The 16,641-nt window shown below is 35.0% G+C and overlaps 3 annotated features.

Moving 5' to 3' along the window:
• Positions 627 to 796: an enhancer, noted in NCBI's record as "experimental_65925 CRE fragment used in MPRA reporter constructs". NCBI's record gives its function as "activates a minimal promoter by MPRAs in K562 erythroleukemia cells, with activity observed for the non-introgressed 3:161775067 variant allele {active_cell/tissue: K562}" and the evidence as "EXISTENCE:reporter gene assay evidence [ECO:0000049][PMID:34662402]".
• Positions 1,201 to 1,370: an enhancer, noted in NCBI's record as "experimental_65935 CRE fragment used in MPRA reporter constructs". NCBI's record gives its function as "activates a minimal promoter by MPRAs in K562 erythroleukemia cells, with activity observed for both the introgressed and non-introgressed 3:161775641 variant alleles {active_cell/tissue: K562}" and the evidence as "EXISTENCE:reporter gene assay evidence [ECO:0000049][PMID:34662402]".
• Positions 12,639 to 12,808: an enhancer, noted in NCBI's record as "experimental_65957 CRE fragment used in MPRA reporter constructs". NCBI's record gives its function as "activates a minimal promoter by MPRAs in K562 erythroleukemia cells, with activity observed for the introgressed 3:161787079 variant allele {active_cell/tissue: K562}" and the evidence as "EXISTENCE:reporter gene assay evidence [ECO:0000049][PMID:34662402]".

Genomic DNA, 16,641 nt, shown 5'->3' on the forward strand with positions numbered 1-16,641 from the left:
AATATGAGAGCAGTAACGAGGAGTGAAAAGGTGCACTTGAGCCCCAAAAAGCTTGTCATTCTGGCCTGTGTAGTCCAGGAAAACTTCATGGAAGCATGGAAGAGGTGACATTTTCACTCTATCTTGAAGGATAAAGAGAAATTTGCAAAGTAGATTATAGGACTATCTTAGGGAAGGCATAGAGTGTAACCAAACTGAGGACTCAAGGAAACAAAAGTCAGATTCAAGGAATGGTAGGATATTAAATTTTAACTGAACATCAAATGAATGTTCTCAGAATTACAAGGGATGGAGCATGAAATAATTTTTAACAAGCATTGAAGAGACTTTTTGTGTGTTAGAATGAGTGTCAATACATAGAATCATTATTTAATTGCAATAAACTATTTCACACTCGATCAAGCCATGTAAAAATTATGTTCAAAATTACAATTTCAAGATCTGGTTATTTATGTTAATGACTCTAATTTTGCAGCAAAGTATTTCAAAATATTCTAATGATGATAATTGGTACCTTTATAACATGATTGAAAATCTTCTGCTTACTAGCCACATTTGTCTCCTCCAATTGTATATCTCACAACTTCTCAAAATGCCCAACTGTTGATCCAGAAAGAACATCACCTTATTGTCTGTAACAAACACTATTCTGGCTTTGATCTCAGCCATTTTACTAATTTTGTTCTCACATGAGATGTCTTCACTCCACTCTTCTCTCCACTCCTCATATTTAACTAATCCATCAAGGCCAAGCTTAAATGCTTACACTTATAGAAGTCTTCCAGCCCTTATTGGAAGAAATTCTAAATTTCTACAGCACTGATATTTGCCGTATCCCAAATTTTGCATGTTATACATTTACATTTTTTTTTTCTTTTCTGATTTCACAGTTTGTAAAATTAAGCTTTTGGGGAATTGTGCATTATTTTCTACTTTACAGACAAAGAAAATTAGACTTCAAAACTGCCTAAAGATCATACTAATGATTATTTTGTGCATTTATTTATTTATTCATTTTTCAAGTAGGTATTGTATGCCTAGCACATGCAAGGCACTTGTCATGAACAAGTGAAAATGGCTCATGTTCTTCAGAGGAGTTTAGGATCTAACAGGGGAGCTAGATATCTAAACACATTTTTGAATTACTTATATGATATAGAAGTGGCACAATGAAGGAAATAATCAACTTAACCAATGTGGTTGGATATGAGTGTGTGAAATACAATGAACATTTCCTAGAAGGGAAGAATATATACAAGTTTGTGAGGAATGGAGTTTTTAACAGGCCAATAAAGGAGATATATATTTCTAGATGAAGAAATAGCATATCCTAATGAGCAGAGGAAGACATTTCAGGGAAAGTAAGATTCTGTGCATTATGGGGTTAGGAATGGGAATAACACAAGGTGAAACTAATAAGTTAGAAAAGAGCCTTTATAACTTGAAGTGGAATTGGGTTTGTCCTGAAGTTGAGGGGATATTCTTAAAGCAATTCATCAGTATGTTGCCAGGATCACATTTGTGTATTCAAAATATTACCCTTGTAGAATGGTAGAAAATGGATTGAGGATAGTATAAATAAAAAACAAGGGGGAAAAATTAAGAACCCATTTTAGTAGTCCAGGTAAGAAATGTTAAGGGCCCTAATGTTGGTTGGAGAAAGAGGGAAATATATATTTTGTAAAAGTATTTTTTTCGGATAAAATAGACAAGATTTTGTGACTAACTGGATATATCAAGTGAAGGGAGAGAGGAACCAAAGAGGATAACTAGATTTTACTGCTTAGATAATTAGATGGTGAATTAGCCAAGACAAGTTGGGTAGGACAAGAAGCTTTTTAAGTGGGATGTTGGATGCCAAATTCAGTTGTATAATTGCTGATTAGAGGCTATTTTTGGCCCAGGAAGTGGTCACATAAGTAACCTATTCAATATATCTGTTGCATTAGTCCATTTTCACACTGCGATAAAGATATTACCTAAGTCTGTTTAATTTATGAAGAAAAGAGGTTTAATTGACTCACAGTTCTGTATGGCTAGGGAGGCCTCAGGAAACTTACAATCATCATGGAAAGCAAGGGGGAAACAGGCACCTTCTTACATGGTGGCAGGAGAGAGAGAAAGAGAGAGCAAGCAAAGGGGAAGTGCCACACTTTAAAACCATCAGATTTCACGAGAACTCACTGTCATGAGAATAGCATGGGGGAATCTGCCCCCATGATCTAGTCACCTCCCACCAGGTCCTTTCCTTGACATGTGGGGTACAATTCGAGATAAGATTTTGATGGGACACAGAGACAACCATATTATTCTGCCCCTGCCCCTCTCAAATCTCATGTCCTTTTTACATTTCAAAACCAATTATGCCTTCCCAACAGACTTTCAAAGTCTTAACTCATTCCAGCATTAACTCAAAAGTCCAAGTCCAAAATCTCATTTGAGTCAAGGCAAGTCCTTTCTGCCTATGAGCCTGTAAAATCAAAAACTTTGGAAGTTAGTTACTTCCAAAACACAATGTGGGTACAGGCAGTGAGTAAATGCTCCCATTCCAAATGGGAGAAATTGGCCAAAACAAAGGGACCACAGGGCCCATGCAGGTCCAAAACCCAGCAGGGTACTCATTAAGTCTTAAAGCTCGAAAGTAATGTCCTTTGACACCATGTCTCACAACTAGTGCACGCTGATGCAAGGGGTGGGCTCCCATGGCCTTGGGCAGCTCCGCCCCTGAGGCTCTGGAAGGTAAAGCCCCTGAAGCTGCTTTCACAGACTGGCATTGAGTGTCTGCAGCTTTTCTAGGTGCACAGTGTAAGCCGTCAGTGGAGTTACCATTCTGGGGTCTGGAGGATTGTGGCCCTTTTCTCATAGCTCCACTGGGAAATGCTCTAGTGGGGACTCTGTGTGGGGGCTCCAACCCACATTTTCCTTCCACACAGCCCTAGTAGAGGTTCACCATGAGGGCTCCACCCTATCAGCAGACTTCTGCCTGGACATCCAGGTGTTCCCATACATCCTTTGAAATCTAGGTGAATGTTCCCAAAGCTCAACTCTTGTCTTCCGTGCACTTGCAGGCCCAACACCACATGGAAACCACCAAGGCTTGGGGCTTGTACCCTCTGAAGCAAAGGCCTGAGCTGTGCCTTGGCCCCTTTTAGTCATGGCTGCAGGTGGAGCATCTGGGAGCTGGGATGCAGGGCACCAAGTCCTGAGGGTGCACAGAGAATCTGGGCCCTGGGCCTGGCCCACAGAACCGTTTTTCCATCCTAGGCTTCTGGATCTGTGATAGGAAGGGCTGCCACGAAGATCTCTGACATGCCTTGGAGACATTTTCCCCATTGTCTTGGTTATAAACATTTGGCTTCTCATTACTTATGCAAATTTTTGCAGCTGGCTTAAATTTCTCCCCAAGGAATGGGTTTTTCTTTTCTACCACATAGTCAGGTGGCAAATTTTCCAAACTTTTATACTCTGCTTCCCCTTTAAACATAAGTTCTGATTTCAAACCATCTTTTTGTGAGTTCATATAACTGAATGCTTTCACAAAAACCAGGTCACCTGGCATTGCTGCTTAGATATTTCTTCTGCCAGATAGTCTAAATTATCTCTCTCAAGGTCAAAGTCCACAGATCCCTAGGGCAGGGGCAAAATGCAGCCAGCCACTTTGCTAAAGCATAGCAAAAATGACCTTTGCTTCAGTTCCTAGTAAGTTCCTCATCTCCATCTGAGCCCATCTCAGCCTAGACTTCATTGTCCATATCACTATGAGTATTTTGGTCAAAACTATTCAACAAGTCTCGAGGAAGTTCCAAACTTTCCCACATCTGCCTATCATCTTCTGAGCCCTCCAAACCTGTCCAACCTCTGTTCCAGCCCCTTACTGTTACCCAGTTCCAAAGTCACTTCCACATTTTCAGGTTATCTTTATAGCAGTACTCCCAGTATCCTGGTACAAATTGTCTGTATTATTCTATTTTCACACTACTATAGAGATACTACCTGAATTTATGAAGAAAAGAGTTCTAATTGACTCATGGTTCTACATGGCTGGGTAGGCCTCAGGAAACTTACAATCATGGCAGAAGGTGAAGGGGAAGCAGGCAGGAGAAAAAGAGAGTAAGTAAATGGGAAATGCAGCACTTTAAAACCATCAGACCTCATGAGAACTCACTCACTGTCTTGAGAACAGCATGGAGAAAACCACCCCTGTGATCCATTCACCTCCCACCAGGTCCTTCCATGGACACCCTGGGGATTACAATTCGAGATGAAATTTGGGTGGGACACAGAGCCAAACCATATCACCTGTCTTCGTCTTAGAAGAAAGATCTGGGCTGAAAATATAGATTTGGAAGTCACTAGAATGGAAATGGGTAAAATCACTCAGAAATATGGTCACAAATAAAAACACAGCAGACCAGACATATACTTCTGAGAGACAAGCTGTCTAAAAGGCTCCTGTTTCTTGTCATATGTCCATCAACAGAAATCTCTGTTTTGACCCTTGAAACACAAAGGTGTTATCGGGACAAATATATTTAATGCATTAGAGACAACTTAAGATCTATAATGGGACAGGTAAGGAGGAAACTCCAGGAGCCTATGCATAATTCAGATGATTAAATTTGCCCGTCTATAGAACTCTCCTTGGGAACTGGAACCAGATGGGGTTCAAAACAAAATTAAGTGCAATTAACTTTTAATTTACTGATTTAATGCCCACTACTAAACACATTTTCCGTTTTGAATGTCACATACTAATGATAAGCAGCTCATCTGGAACTTGGCTAACTTTTGCAATTTAATATCTAACTTCAAAATTCTGGCTAGACAACATATTTGGAGGTTAAAAATTCTTCTACAAGCCCAGCGCGGTGGCTCATGCCTGTAATTCCAGCACTTTGGGAGGTCAAGGAGGGCAAATCATGAGGTCAGGGTTTCGAGACCAGCCTGGCCAACATTGTGAAACCCTGTCTCTACTAAAAATACAATAGATTAGCTGGGCGTGGTGTTAGGCAGCTGTAATCCCAGCTACTTGGGAGGCTGAGGCAGGAGAATTGCTTGAACCCGGGAGGCAGAGGTTGCAGTGAGCTGAGATCGTGCCACTGCACTCCAACCGGGGCAACAATGCGAGACTCCATCTCAATAAAAAAAAAAAAAAATTCTTCTACCCATAAATGGTGAGATGCACCCAACTCAGACAAAAAGTAGTCAAATAATGAAGAGGAGCTAGAAGGACCTTGAGAAAAGACAATGTGCTGAAACTCTGTTACATGTTTCAAAGAGCTTATGCAATGTAAGTAATGGAATAATTCATCTACTTTTACTAATGAGCATTACTAAGGAGCCCTAATTTCTGCAGACTGAGGATTGAATGTGAAATGCAAAATTAGAAGGAGACTATATATAGACTTGAGGAGAGTAATACAGGAGTAAGTTTAAAAAGTCTGTTTATAGATTGTGCATTTAAAATCACAAGTATGTAATGAGTATTTTCACATTTCTGTATTGCCTTTATCTATTTCTATTGCAAGCTCCCCAATGAAAGAAATAATCTGACACTTCTCTTGCTTCCTCACCTCCATCCTTCCCTCCCTCCCTCCCTCTGTCCCTTCTTCCATCCCTCCCTCCTTCTCTTCCTCCCTCACTTCCTTCCTTTTTTCCTTCTCTTGCCTTAAAGTTTTTAGCACTGAACATAACATTCTCGTGAACAAATACTCATGAATTTAAATAAAATTGTTTCCATCACTTAGTGTTCCATGGTATATAAAAACTTTGGATTATTTTTACTACTGAATATGTAATTTTTGTTCTTAAATTCATTTCATCATATTTCCTGTTCAGTTTCTATAACTTACTATTCAGAACTTTTATCTTTAAAACACTAATAATATAAGCCATTTGAAGAGATTGAATTCCAAAAACTTACAGCCTGATAATGTTCTGCTACAAAAAGAATGCTGAGCTATAGAAAACTCACTCAGCATAGTAGTTTGGATTTCTACTTATTTGACATCTATAGGAATTGGCAGCTGTCTTTATCCAGAGGCAATACTCCAGGAACTTTTTCCTATTTTCATTATATGTACAGGAAAATTTAAACGTATTTATCTTAAAATACTTGAAATTCCTGATGCCCGCATTTTGATTCTAGTTTTAGGATCTTCTTTATTATGTGTAGAGGTGCTAATTAATCAAGTTTCTCATCTTTCTAAGTGTTCTGAGAGTTCTATTTGCATTTCTTCTTAATGTCACAGAAAATAGAGACTCTAGAAATAAATGTATTGTGTTCTATCCATTATTTTTAAATTAAGAATAGAAACACAAATTTTGTACAACAAAAGAGCAGTAAATGTTTGAGTGCTTTGCATTTGTAGAGAGGGGAAAAATACTCGTTTTCTATGAGGATTCCACCGAAACTAGATTTATAACGTACGTTTTAGTTTCCTATTGCTGTGTAATAAACTACCTCAAAACTTAGTGCTTAAAACCACAACCATTGTATTTGTTAACATTCGGGTAGAACTTGGGTATGTTATTTTTCTTTTCCATGTGTCACACATTTCTCAAGTGGTGATGACAAGATGGAAACAGTCCTGAATACCCAATATGATTTAATTCCCATGTCTAGCACCTTGGCAAATGGGCTGGAGGTTGAGTCTATCTCTCACTCCCCATATGGCTCTTTCTAGATGGCCTCCCTAGGTTTCTTTACATGAGTAGGTCCTAGAAGTAAGCATTCAGAACAGCTGATGTAAAACTGCTGCTCTCTCCAGGCCCAGACTCAGATGTTGCATGGCATCATTATTGCTGGATTCTATCGATCAAAGCAAGCTGCGAAGTAAGAGCAGGTTCAAAAGTAAAGGAGATGGATTCCATCTCTTGATGGGAAACTGGTAAGGTTACATTGCAAATGAGCATATGAGATAGTAGATATTTTTGTGAGCATTGTTAGAAACCCAATCTACTATAACCTGGTTCAGTTCTCTTTGTTTTATTGGAGCTACATATTCCGCATTTGCAAAATGAGGTGATTAATTCATTTATGCAGCATGTAGTTACTAGACAGTTAAGATAGACTATTGAACCAACAGACATGACTTCTCTGCTGTGGAGCTTATCTGTGGATTGGACAAGGTAAAGTGTAAGATTGCTTCTCTTAAAATATTCGGTGATACTTAAAATTAAGCAAGGATACAGCCATAGGTTCTTACTGGGGAAATATGCTTTGTGCTAAAGAATATTTTATTGTCTAAGATAGAAGAATTTCCTTGTTTAGACTTTTTTCAAGCAACCTGATTGCTCACATAGTGTTATATTTCACCTCATTATTTTAAAATTATTTATATCTTAATGCATGCCAAATATAAGGACAAATCCTGTCCCTGCACAGTTAAATAAAACTTTTTTAATTTTAAATTTTAATGAGTACATGGCAGGTGTGTTTATGGAATATATGAGATATTTTGATACAATGCACAATAATAACCTCAGGGTAAATAGGGTATCTATCACCTCAAGCATTTATTATTTATTTCTGTTATAGACATTCTAATTATGCTGCTGTAGTTACTTTAAAATGTACAGTAAAATATTGTTGACTGTAATCACCCTGTTGTTCTATCAAATACTAGATCTTATTCATTCTATTTAACTATATTTTGTACACCTCAACCATCCCTGCTTCTGTCCCACATCCCCCAGCTAGTTTATACTTCTATAAACTAGCTAATGATAGAATCAGGAACAATTGTGTTTAATCAGACCATCCCTTCATTTTCTAGGCAAAAAGATTAGACAATAAATGACACAGAGAAAAAAATACTAAACTGATAGTACCTAAACCATAAAACAAAGCAGCCCAGCTTTTGAGTGAGACCAAGGTCTTAAAGAGAAAATTGTATGATGTCCAGCGAGTCAACATCATTTACAAAATAGTGAAATAGTTCAATCTGCTATCACACCTTTTCCCAAACCATGGTGTTTAACCTTTCAAAATCTTACGGTTGTAGTTTCAAAAGCAGAGTCAATTACCAAGACAAATAAAACTGATGAATTAACTAATTTGTATTCTCTTTAACTGTTTTGATGAAACTCCACAAACATGCTGTTAGTTCCATTCCTCTGAGCTTTGAATAGTTTACTGTTTGTGACGATAAAAGCACGGCTGGGAATACTTTAACATATGCCAGATTCAAACAGAGTGAAATATGACAGTTTATAATCTGTGAGACAGAAGCTTGATCTTTGAAAAATATTTGCATATAAAGTACATGCTTCAATATCATAATTCTGAAAGCCCACATGAACTGAAATTCAGTGATATCACTTAATATGTTGTGTAAACAGTAAGCAGAATCTATCTTTCCTTGTCTGCACATAAAAATAACTTTTTCTTTTGGGACTATTTTTGTAGGAAATATTTTAATTAATAATGTAAAGATAAAAACTGTAGAAAGAGTATCCAAAACAAAATCACACATGCTCCGTTTGAGAGAATGAGATGTTACATTTATTTCTGAAAAAAATAATATGTACATATAAATATAAAAGCATAAAATGTACTTAGAGAGCCTCCTTCCATTGTTCTCATCCAGACCATTTCCTTTTGAAGAATAGGGCAGGGGAAAGCACTTTTAATTGTTTCTTATGAAAAGATCAAAGACCATGCATGTTTCTTGATCATTTTTAACTTAATTTTTAAAATTAACATTCAGTAAATTGACTTTAAAATATATGAGTCTATAAATTTAACATATGTATACATTCAAAGAACTATTACCACAATCAGGATCCAAAAGAGTTACAGCTGTCAGGAAACATGACATATATTATCTCTTTGCCATCATTCCTTCCTCTCATACTTTATTTCTGACCACTACTAATCTGCATTTTATTATTACTTTATTCTTTTAAGAGTGTTATACAAATGTAATCATATGTTGTGTGACCTTTTAAGACTGACTTTATCTACTCAACAAAATAACTTTGAGGGTCATCCAAATGTTGCATGTATCAATCATTCTTTATTTTTATTGCTGAGTAGTATTCCACTGAGTGGATGTACCACAGAGTGTTTATTCATTCACCCATTGAAGGGCATTTGAGTTATTCCCAGAGTTTAGTGCTTATTAATAGAGAAAATATAAACATCCTTTTGTTTATTTCATATAAACACTTGTTTTCATTTCTCCAAGTTAAATACCCAGGAGTGAGATTGCTGGGTTATATGACAGGTATATGTTTAACTTTTTCAGAAACTGTCAAACTGTTTTCCAGGATGGTTGAACCGTTTAGCATTCCCAAGAGCAACTATTAGAGTTCTAGTTGCTCTGCATCCTTGCCAAAAATAGTATCATCAGTATTTTTGAAGATTTTGCCATACTAAAAGGCATGTTGAGGTATCTCATTTGCATTTCCCTAATAATGTCTAATGCTATTGAATGTTCCTTCATGTGCTTTTTGGCCATCAGTATCTTCTTTGGTGAAATTTCTGTTCAAGTGTTTATGTTTATTTTAGATGGGTTGTTTCCTTTCATGCTGTTGATATTTAAGAGTTCTTTACATATTTTGCATACAACTCCTTTGTGGATATGTGATATACAAACATTTTCTCCCCATCTGTACTTTGTCTTTTCATTTTCTTAAGAGAATCATTTATAGAAGAAAGTTTTGGTGTTTTTTCTATTTTCTTATTTTTGTGAAATTTAATTAATCTTTTTTTTAATGTGTTGAAGTTTTGTTGTCATGTCTCAGATAACTTTGGCTAATGATAAAATATAAAGATTTTTTAGGCTGGGCGCGGTGGCTCACATCTGTAATCCCAGCACTTTGAGAGGCCGAGGTGGGCAGATCATGAGGTCGGGAGATTGAGACCATCCTGGCTAACACGGTGAAACCCCATCTCTACTAAAAATACACTTCATATCTGGCCAAAGTAAGTTTTATGAGCAAAAGAAAAATAAGATCCTTTTTATACAAGCAAATACTGAGGGATTTTTTTAACCACCAGACCTACCTTACAAGAGCTCCTGAAAGAAGCATTAAAAATGGAAAAGAAAGTCCATTACCAGTCACTGCTAAAAACACAATGACAGGATCAAATCCACTCATGTCGATTCTAAATTTGAAGGTAAATGGGCTAAATGCCCCAATTAAAAGGCACAGTGTGGTAAGCTGGATAAAGAAGCAAAACTCAATGGTATGCTGTCTTCAATAGACCCATCTTACCTGCAATAACACCCATAGACTCAAAGATATGGAGAAAAATCTACCAAGCAAATAAAAAAGAGAAAAAAAAGCAGAGGTTGCAATCCTAATTTCTGACAAAACAGACTTTAAGCCAACAAAGACAAAAACGACAAAAAGGGCACTATGTAATAGTAAAGGGTTTAAGTAAACAAGAAGATCTAACTATCCTAAACACATATGCACCCAATGTAGGCCCACTCAGATTCCAAAAACAAGTTTTTAGAGACCTTCAAAGAGATGTAGAGTCCCACACAACAATAGTGGGAGACTTTAACACCCCACTGACAGTGCTAGATAGATCACTGAGGCAGAAAATTAACAAAAACATTTAGGGCCTAGAATCAACAATGACCATATGTATCTGATTTACATCTACAGAACTCTCCATCCAAAAACAATAGAATATACATTCTTCTCATCTGCACACACTCTAACATCATCACACAATCGGACATAAAACAGTTCTTAGCAAATTCAAAAAACCAAAGTTAAACCATCCACTGTTGGACCACAGCTCAATAGAAATAGCATTTGTTATGAAGAAAATTGCTCAAAATCATACATTTACATGGAAATTAAACAACTTGCTTTTGAAAGGCTTATTGGCAAATAATGAAATTAAGGCAGAGATCAAGAAGTTATTTGAAATTAATGAGAATAAAGACACGATCAAGAAGTTATTTGAAATTAATGAGAATAAAGACACAACATACCAGAATATCTGGCACACATTTAAGGTAGTGTTAAGAGGGAAGTTTAGAGCATTAAACACCAGTATCAAAAAGTTAGAAAGATCTCAAAGTAACAACCTAATATCATGACTAAAAGAACTAGAGAAGCAAGAGCAAACCAACCCCAAAGCTAGCAGAAAACAAGAAATAACCAAAATCATAGCTAAACTGAAGGAGATTGAGACATGAAAAGTCATTCAAAAGATCCACAAAGCCAGGATGAGACCAGCATCATCCTCATATTCTTGATGAATATTGATGCAAAAATCCTTAGCAAAATACTAGCAAACCAAATCCAGCAGCACATCAAAAAGCTAATCCACCATGACAAAATAGGCTTTATCCTTGGGATGTAGGGTTGGTTCAACATATACATATCAATAAACATGATTCATCACATAAACAGAACTAAAGACAAAACCATGTGATCACTACAATAGATGTGCATGCATACATGTACTCATACAAACACACACACAGGACTGCTGACTTATTAACTGTTTATTTTTTGTACTAGAGTGGTATGGCAAGGCATTTAGGTAAAATGTTTAATAGGAAATATTGAAAAATTATTATACATTCATGAAAAATAATTTTATTCAAAAACATAAAATGGAGTATGTAAACAAAATAAAACACCATAACATCTTATATATGTTTTAATTAAACAGAGTATAAAGTATGCATTGAAAATAATTAACTAGAAGTAGTTTTTTATCTTTCTGAAATAAACCATAAAGTTATTTTTCTAAATTAAAATTTAAAGATATTTGGAGTTCAATAACTTAATTTTTTTACTAAATATTTCTGTCCATATATGGAAAGTTGCTTTAGTAAACCATGCTACATCCAACTAATGAAGTACTATGCCACTGTTAAATAAAAAGAATGAGGGAGGGAGAAACTCTAGAATTTTGATGATCCTTGGGTATATTGCTATGTAAAAAAAGATAGATGCAAAAGATTATGTAAAGCATATTAACATTTATGTAGAAAAGAGGAAATAAAACATTTATCATTACCTGTTTATATTTTCAAAAAGCAGTATTTAAAACATAAGAAGTATAAACCAAAAACTAACAAAATTAGTTACTTGAAAGGACAGTGGGGATGGGGAAAAGAGATAGGGGATAAATGAGATTTCTATGAGTATAAATTCTTACATAGTTTTACATAGTTCTAACATTACAAAAATTTTAATGATTTACAAAATAAAATAAATGACAATAATTATAAAGAAATAACAAACTAAACAAATATAAGCAGAAATAAATTAGTCTACATCAAATTATTAATATAACTACATAGAAATAACTCTAATTACTCAGTAAGTCTACTCACTCAAGGGGATGTTTTCAAAAAACAAACAAAAACTACAAAAATCTTAAAGGATACCAAATCACTCTTTTTTTCTTTTAATTTTTGAGATGGAGTCTCGCTTTGTAGCCCAGGCTGGAGTGCAGTGGCGTGATCTCAGCTCACTGCAACCTCTGCCTACTGGGTTCAAGCAATTCTCCTGCCTCAGCCTACTGAGTAGCTGGGATTACAGGTGTGCACCACCATGCCCGGCTAATTTTTGTGCTTTTAGTAGAGACAGGGTTTCACCATGTTGGTCAGGCTGGTCTCAAACTCCTGACCTCGTGATCTGCCTGTCTTGGCCTCCCAAAGTGCTGGAATAACAGGCGTGAGCCACCGCGCCCAACCAAATCATTCTTTACTCTTAATTAACATTGGTTTGGTGTGGGTCATAGTCTTTATAATCTCTTAAATATTCTATAGTTATTATATTTAGGGAGATTATTATTTTAAAATAACTTTTTATAATGTTTGAGCACATATATGCACATCCATATATGTTTAATATTGAGATCATCCTATACATAATAATTTGCAATTATTTTATTTGCTATCTTATAAATTTATAAAAGAGAGGAAGTCTTAACCAGAAATGCCATATTAGAGCCTTCTTTAAAAGTATAGTTTTTAAACAATAATTTTGTTCCTTTAAAATTTCAGCAGTTATATGTATATAATGTAAAAGATTGATATAAATTCTGTCTTTTATTTACTGATAATCTTTTTCTTTACCACCTGTACCCTATTAAGTTGAAGTCATATAAACAAATATATAATGAAACAAATCATCAATAAATTAAAGAAAAAACAAAAAATTCCCCAATATCTACGTATGGTACAGACCTTAACTGATATATTTGCAATTACTGTTTATTTACTTGTTAATTAAAACTATATGTACATTTTCCTTTGCAAAGGATGTTAGTAGTTAACCTTGGTCCCAAATTTTATATCTTCCATGCAATGCTATATATTTTTCTTGGTATTATATCAAGAATTGTAGTTAGCTAGCAGCTAGATAGATAGATTATAGATAGATATATTTTAAATATTTTTATATATTTTATATAATATAAACTAATGAAGTTTATACATAGTAAATGTGTATGTATAAATGTATAATACATATTACATATAATTATGTAACATACATTTATTGATATTATTATATTATTGAAATACATTTGCCATTGTTTCCAGGCTTGCAGAGCTCTGAGGTATGCTGTGTGTATAATTGTTCTCTGTCATTGATCGAATGGCCCCTGCCAAACGGATAATGGCATTCACATTGTAGGTCATTTTTCCTTATTGGAATTTTGTGTCCTGAATAATTTATAATTTCATAAGATCATTCTTTGTAAAAATGTGCTCTGCCTCCACTATAAGCAAGTGATGATAGTTGTCTATAAGCCCATATAATGATATTAAAACAAATTGTCTGTTTCCAGTATTTAATGCTGTACTAAAATAGTTATAATATCACCTATGATACTGAGGTTATAGTTTAGATGTTTTCAGATCTTTTTCAGTTTAAACATTACACCTAACTAGTTTTAAGCAATGAACTTTGTTCATTTTATTTTGGAGATATGACATGTGACATCTATTCACATAAAAATATATGCAATTTACTCCAAAATTTGACATTAAATAATTGCTCAGATATATTAATATTAATGGTTTCAAATTCTTTATATTACCATTTAGAGACTCAAACTATTTTAATTGTTTATATGGTATAATCAAACCTGCCTTTAAATCTTACTTTCAAAAAGTGTAGCTGAGTAGTGGGAAGTGTTAGTGAAACAATATCGACTATAAGTCAATAATTTTTATTATTGAAACTTGAGCAGCTAAAAAGGTAAACCAGAGTAATCTAAAAGTTTGGCTTCAGAAATGGGGTTCAAAGCATTTAAAAGTGATTAATGACTTTGTGTTTTATCATTTGTTACAAAAAATTTTGAAGAGCAATAATAATAATTTTTGTATGAAATTGAAAATGCAATACATATCTTTTACTTTCTAAAAAATCCTTTTCATATTAGTTTCCAACAACTTTTTGGCCTTTATCACATATTTCAACATATTTGAATTTCTTTTATCTTTTAGTTAATATAACTTGTTCAGAACAAAAATATAAAATTTGTAGAGTTGTGCATCAACATTTTCTTATTTTTAATCTCATTAATATTTTCACTAGTTATCCATGTAAGAGCCATTGGAAACCTTCAAGACTTCCTCTTCTGTATACTTCCCATACTAAATCATCCTTGTTATTCTTTGGTTACATTCTTCTGATTCTCATTTGAAACCATTTTCTTTCTCTTCCTGTTCTTGACTCAGCTGAATATTCATCATCTCCCAATCGGAAAGTGGTGATAGCCTACCAACCATTATCACTATATTTGGTCTATTTTTTTTCCAGTCAATCCTCCAAGTTGCTAACAACATTATCATTCTAAAACATTAATCTAGTTATGTTACTCTCATGTTTTGACCACTTACTACCACAAGGTAAAGTGTAAATTCCTTACCTTGTCATTTATGAATTTTTATTATTTGATCATGACCTACCTTTTTAGAACCCAACTACAGCTATTTCAAACACTTTGGAATCTTTATTATTCCAAGTAAGTCTTATGATGTTTCAAGTTTTGATGTTTTTGTAGCTGATGTCTTTCTGTCTTGAATAATTATTGCTTTCCTCCACCAGATGTATAGTCACTTAAATTCTCTTTTCCGTAAAACCTCAATGATTACTCAGAAGTGAGTTCTCCCACTTCAGCTTTCCAGATTATTTCCAAGGCACAGATATATCATGTTCACCTTTTTATCTGTAACTCATTCCCTCACACATGATATGCATTTCAATTCATTTGTATTGAGTGATAGAATGAGTGACTGCATTTTATAGAGAATGAAATGAAGCATCAGTGTTTAGTAACAAAAGTTAACAAAGGAGCAGAGGTACATTTGAAACAGAGATACAGTTACGGATATGGTGAATTTTTTTACCAAAGCTGAAGAATCTAAGGTAGGGGTCTTGATAAGTTAAATTGTTTATATGAATGGTTGAATTAATGATGATGAAACTAAGAAAACAGTTTTGATTGACAATTACTTGAGGGCACTTATAAGAAAAAAAAAAGTATAGTTTTGTAAAAGTAACCAGGATTTGTTTCAATCAGCTATAGTAAGACATGCAGACAGGAATATTACTGTTATGAAGAAAGAAGTCTATTATACTCATAGTTTCCTAGAGACAGGAGGCAACACCACATCACACAGGATGGGGGGCAGGAAAAGGGAAGGTACCAGGATCCGTTGGGAGGCAGAAGGAGCAAGAGAACATGTGGGCAAGTAACTTTATTTTGATTTTCTCAGGAAGGGATGAGCAAGGCAGTTTAGGATTGGCTAGTTTGAATAACTTCAATGGGGTCTGGGGCATAGAAGCTGTCCCTTTTGTTAGGTACTTGGTCCTGGGATGATTAGAGTCAGTGGATAGTATCCTGGAGTATGAGTTTTTAAAGGAGCTTGTTGAGGATATGTACTCTGGATTACTTGAATTGCATATAAAAGGTGCACTACCAATGAGTTATCTCTCTCTAGGAATTGGCTAACCCTAGGAAGGGTAGTCCCTCCAGGGTAAGCAATCCCCCAAGACCTCAAAGCATCAGAATAAAGAAAAAAACATAGTAAAACAATTAGAAATAGGATAAAGCTTTATGAAATGACTCTCAAACAATGATGAGGTAACCAATAATGAATATTTATCACTTCCTCCTTGCTTTGAAACATGAAAAAAATGAAAAAGAAAAATCTTTATTTATAACTCTTTGCCCATTGTGAACTTACGAAGTATGTCAGTTAGTACCTGTAGCTGAGAGAAAGAGCCCTGAATGCAGAGGCTTTGTTTGCAAACAGCTCAAATAGCAAGATTTTATGATTGAAAAATTGAAAGCACTCTCTATATAAAGCACAGCCAGAGCAAACAGCTCCAGCAGTGAGTGGCAAAGAAAGCATATTTCATCCACAGAAAATGACTGTGATGCATTAGTCAATGCTATCATGGCAAAGGTCCCTGAGACCCTGGGAGACAATAGGGAGGGAGCAGGGGCTGGATGACATTTGTTTCCAAACCTTTCGGGATCTGAAAAGTCATTTCTATCAAATTAGTGGCTATGGTGTGGCACATCCACTTCTAGTTTGCAAGAGATAAAGACTGATGAATTAAAACTTTAAAGCAAGGTAGAGTGAAAGACAGAAAAATATTTTTCAGCCACTGTAGTTCAAATCCATTTATAAGCAC

This window comes from Homo sapiens, chromosome 3, assembly GCF_000001405.40.
Source record: "Homo sapiens chromosome 3, GRCh38.p14 Primary Assembly".
NCBI lineage: Eukaryota > Metazoa > Chordata > Mammalia > Primates > Hominidae > Homo > Homo sapiens.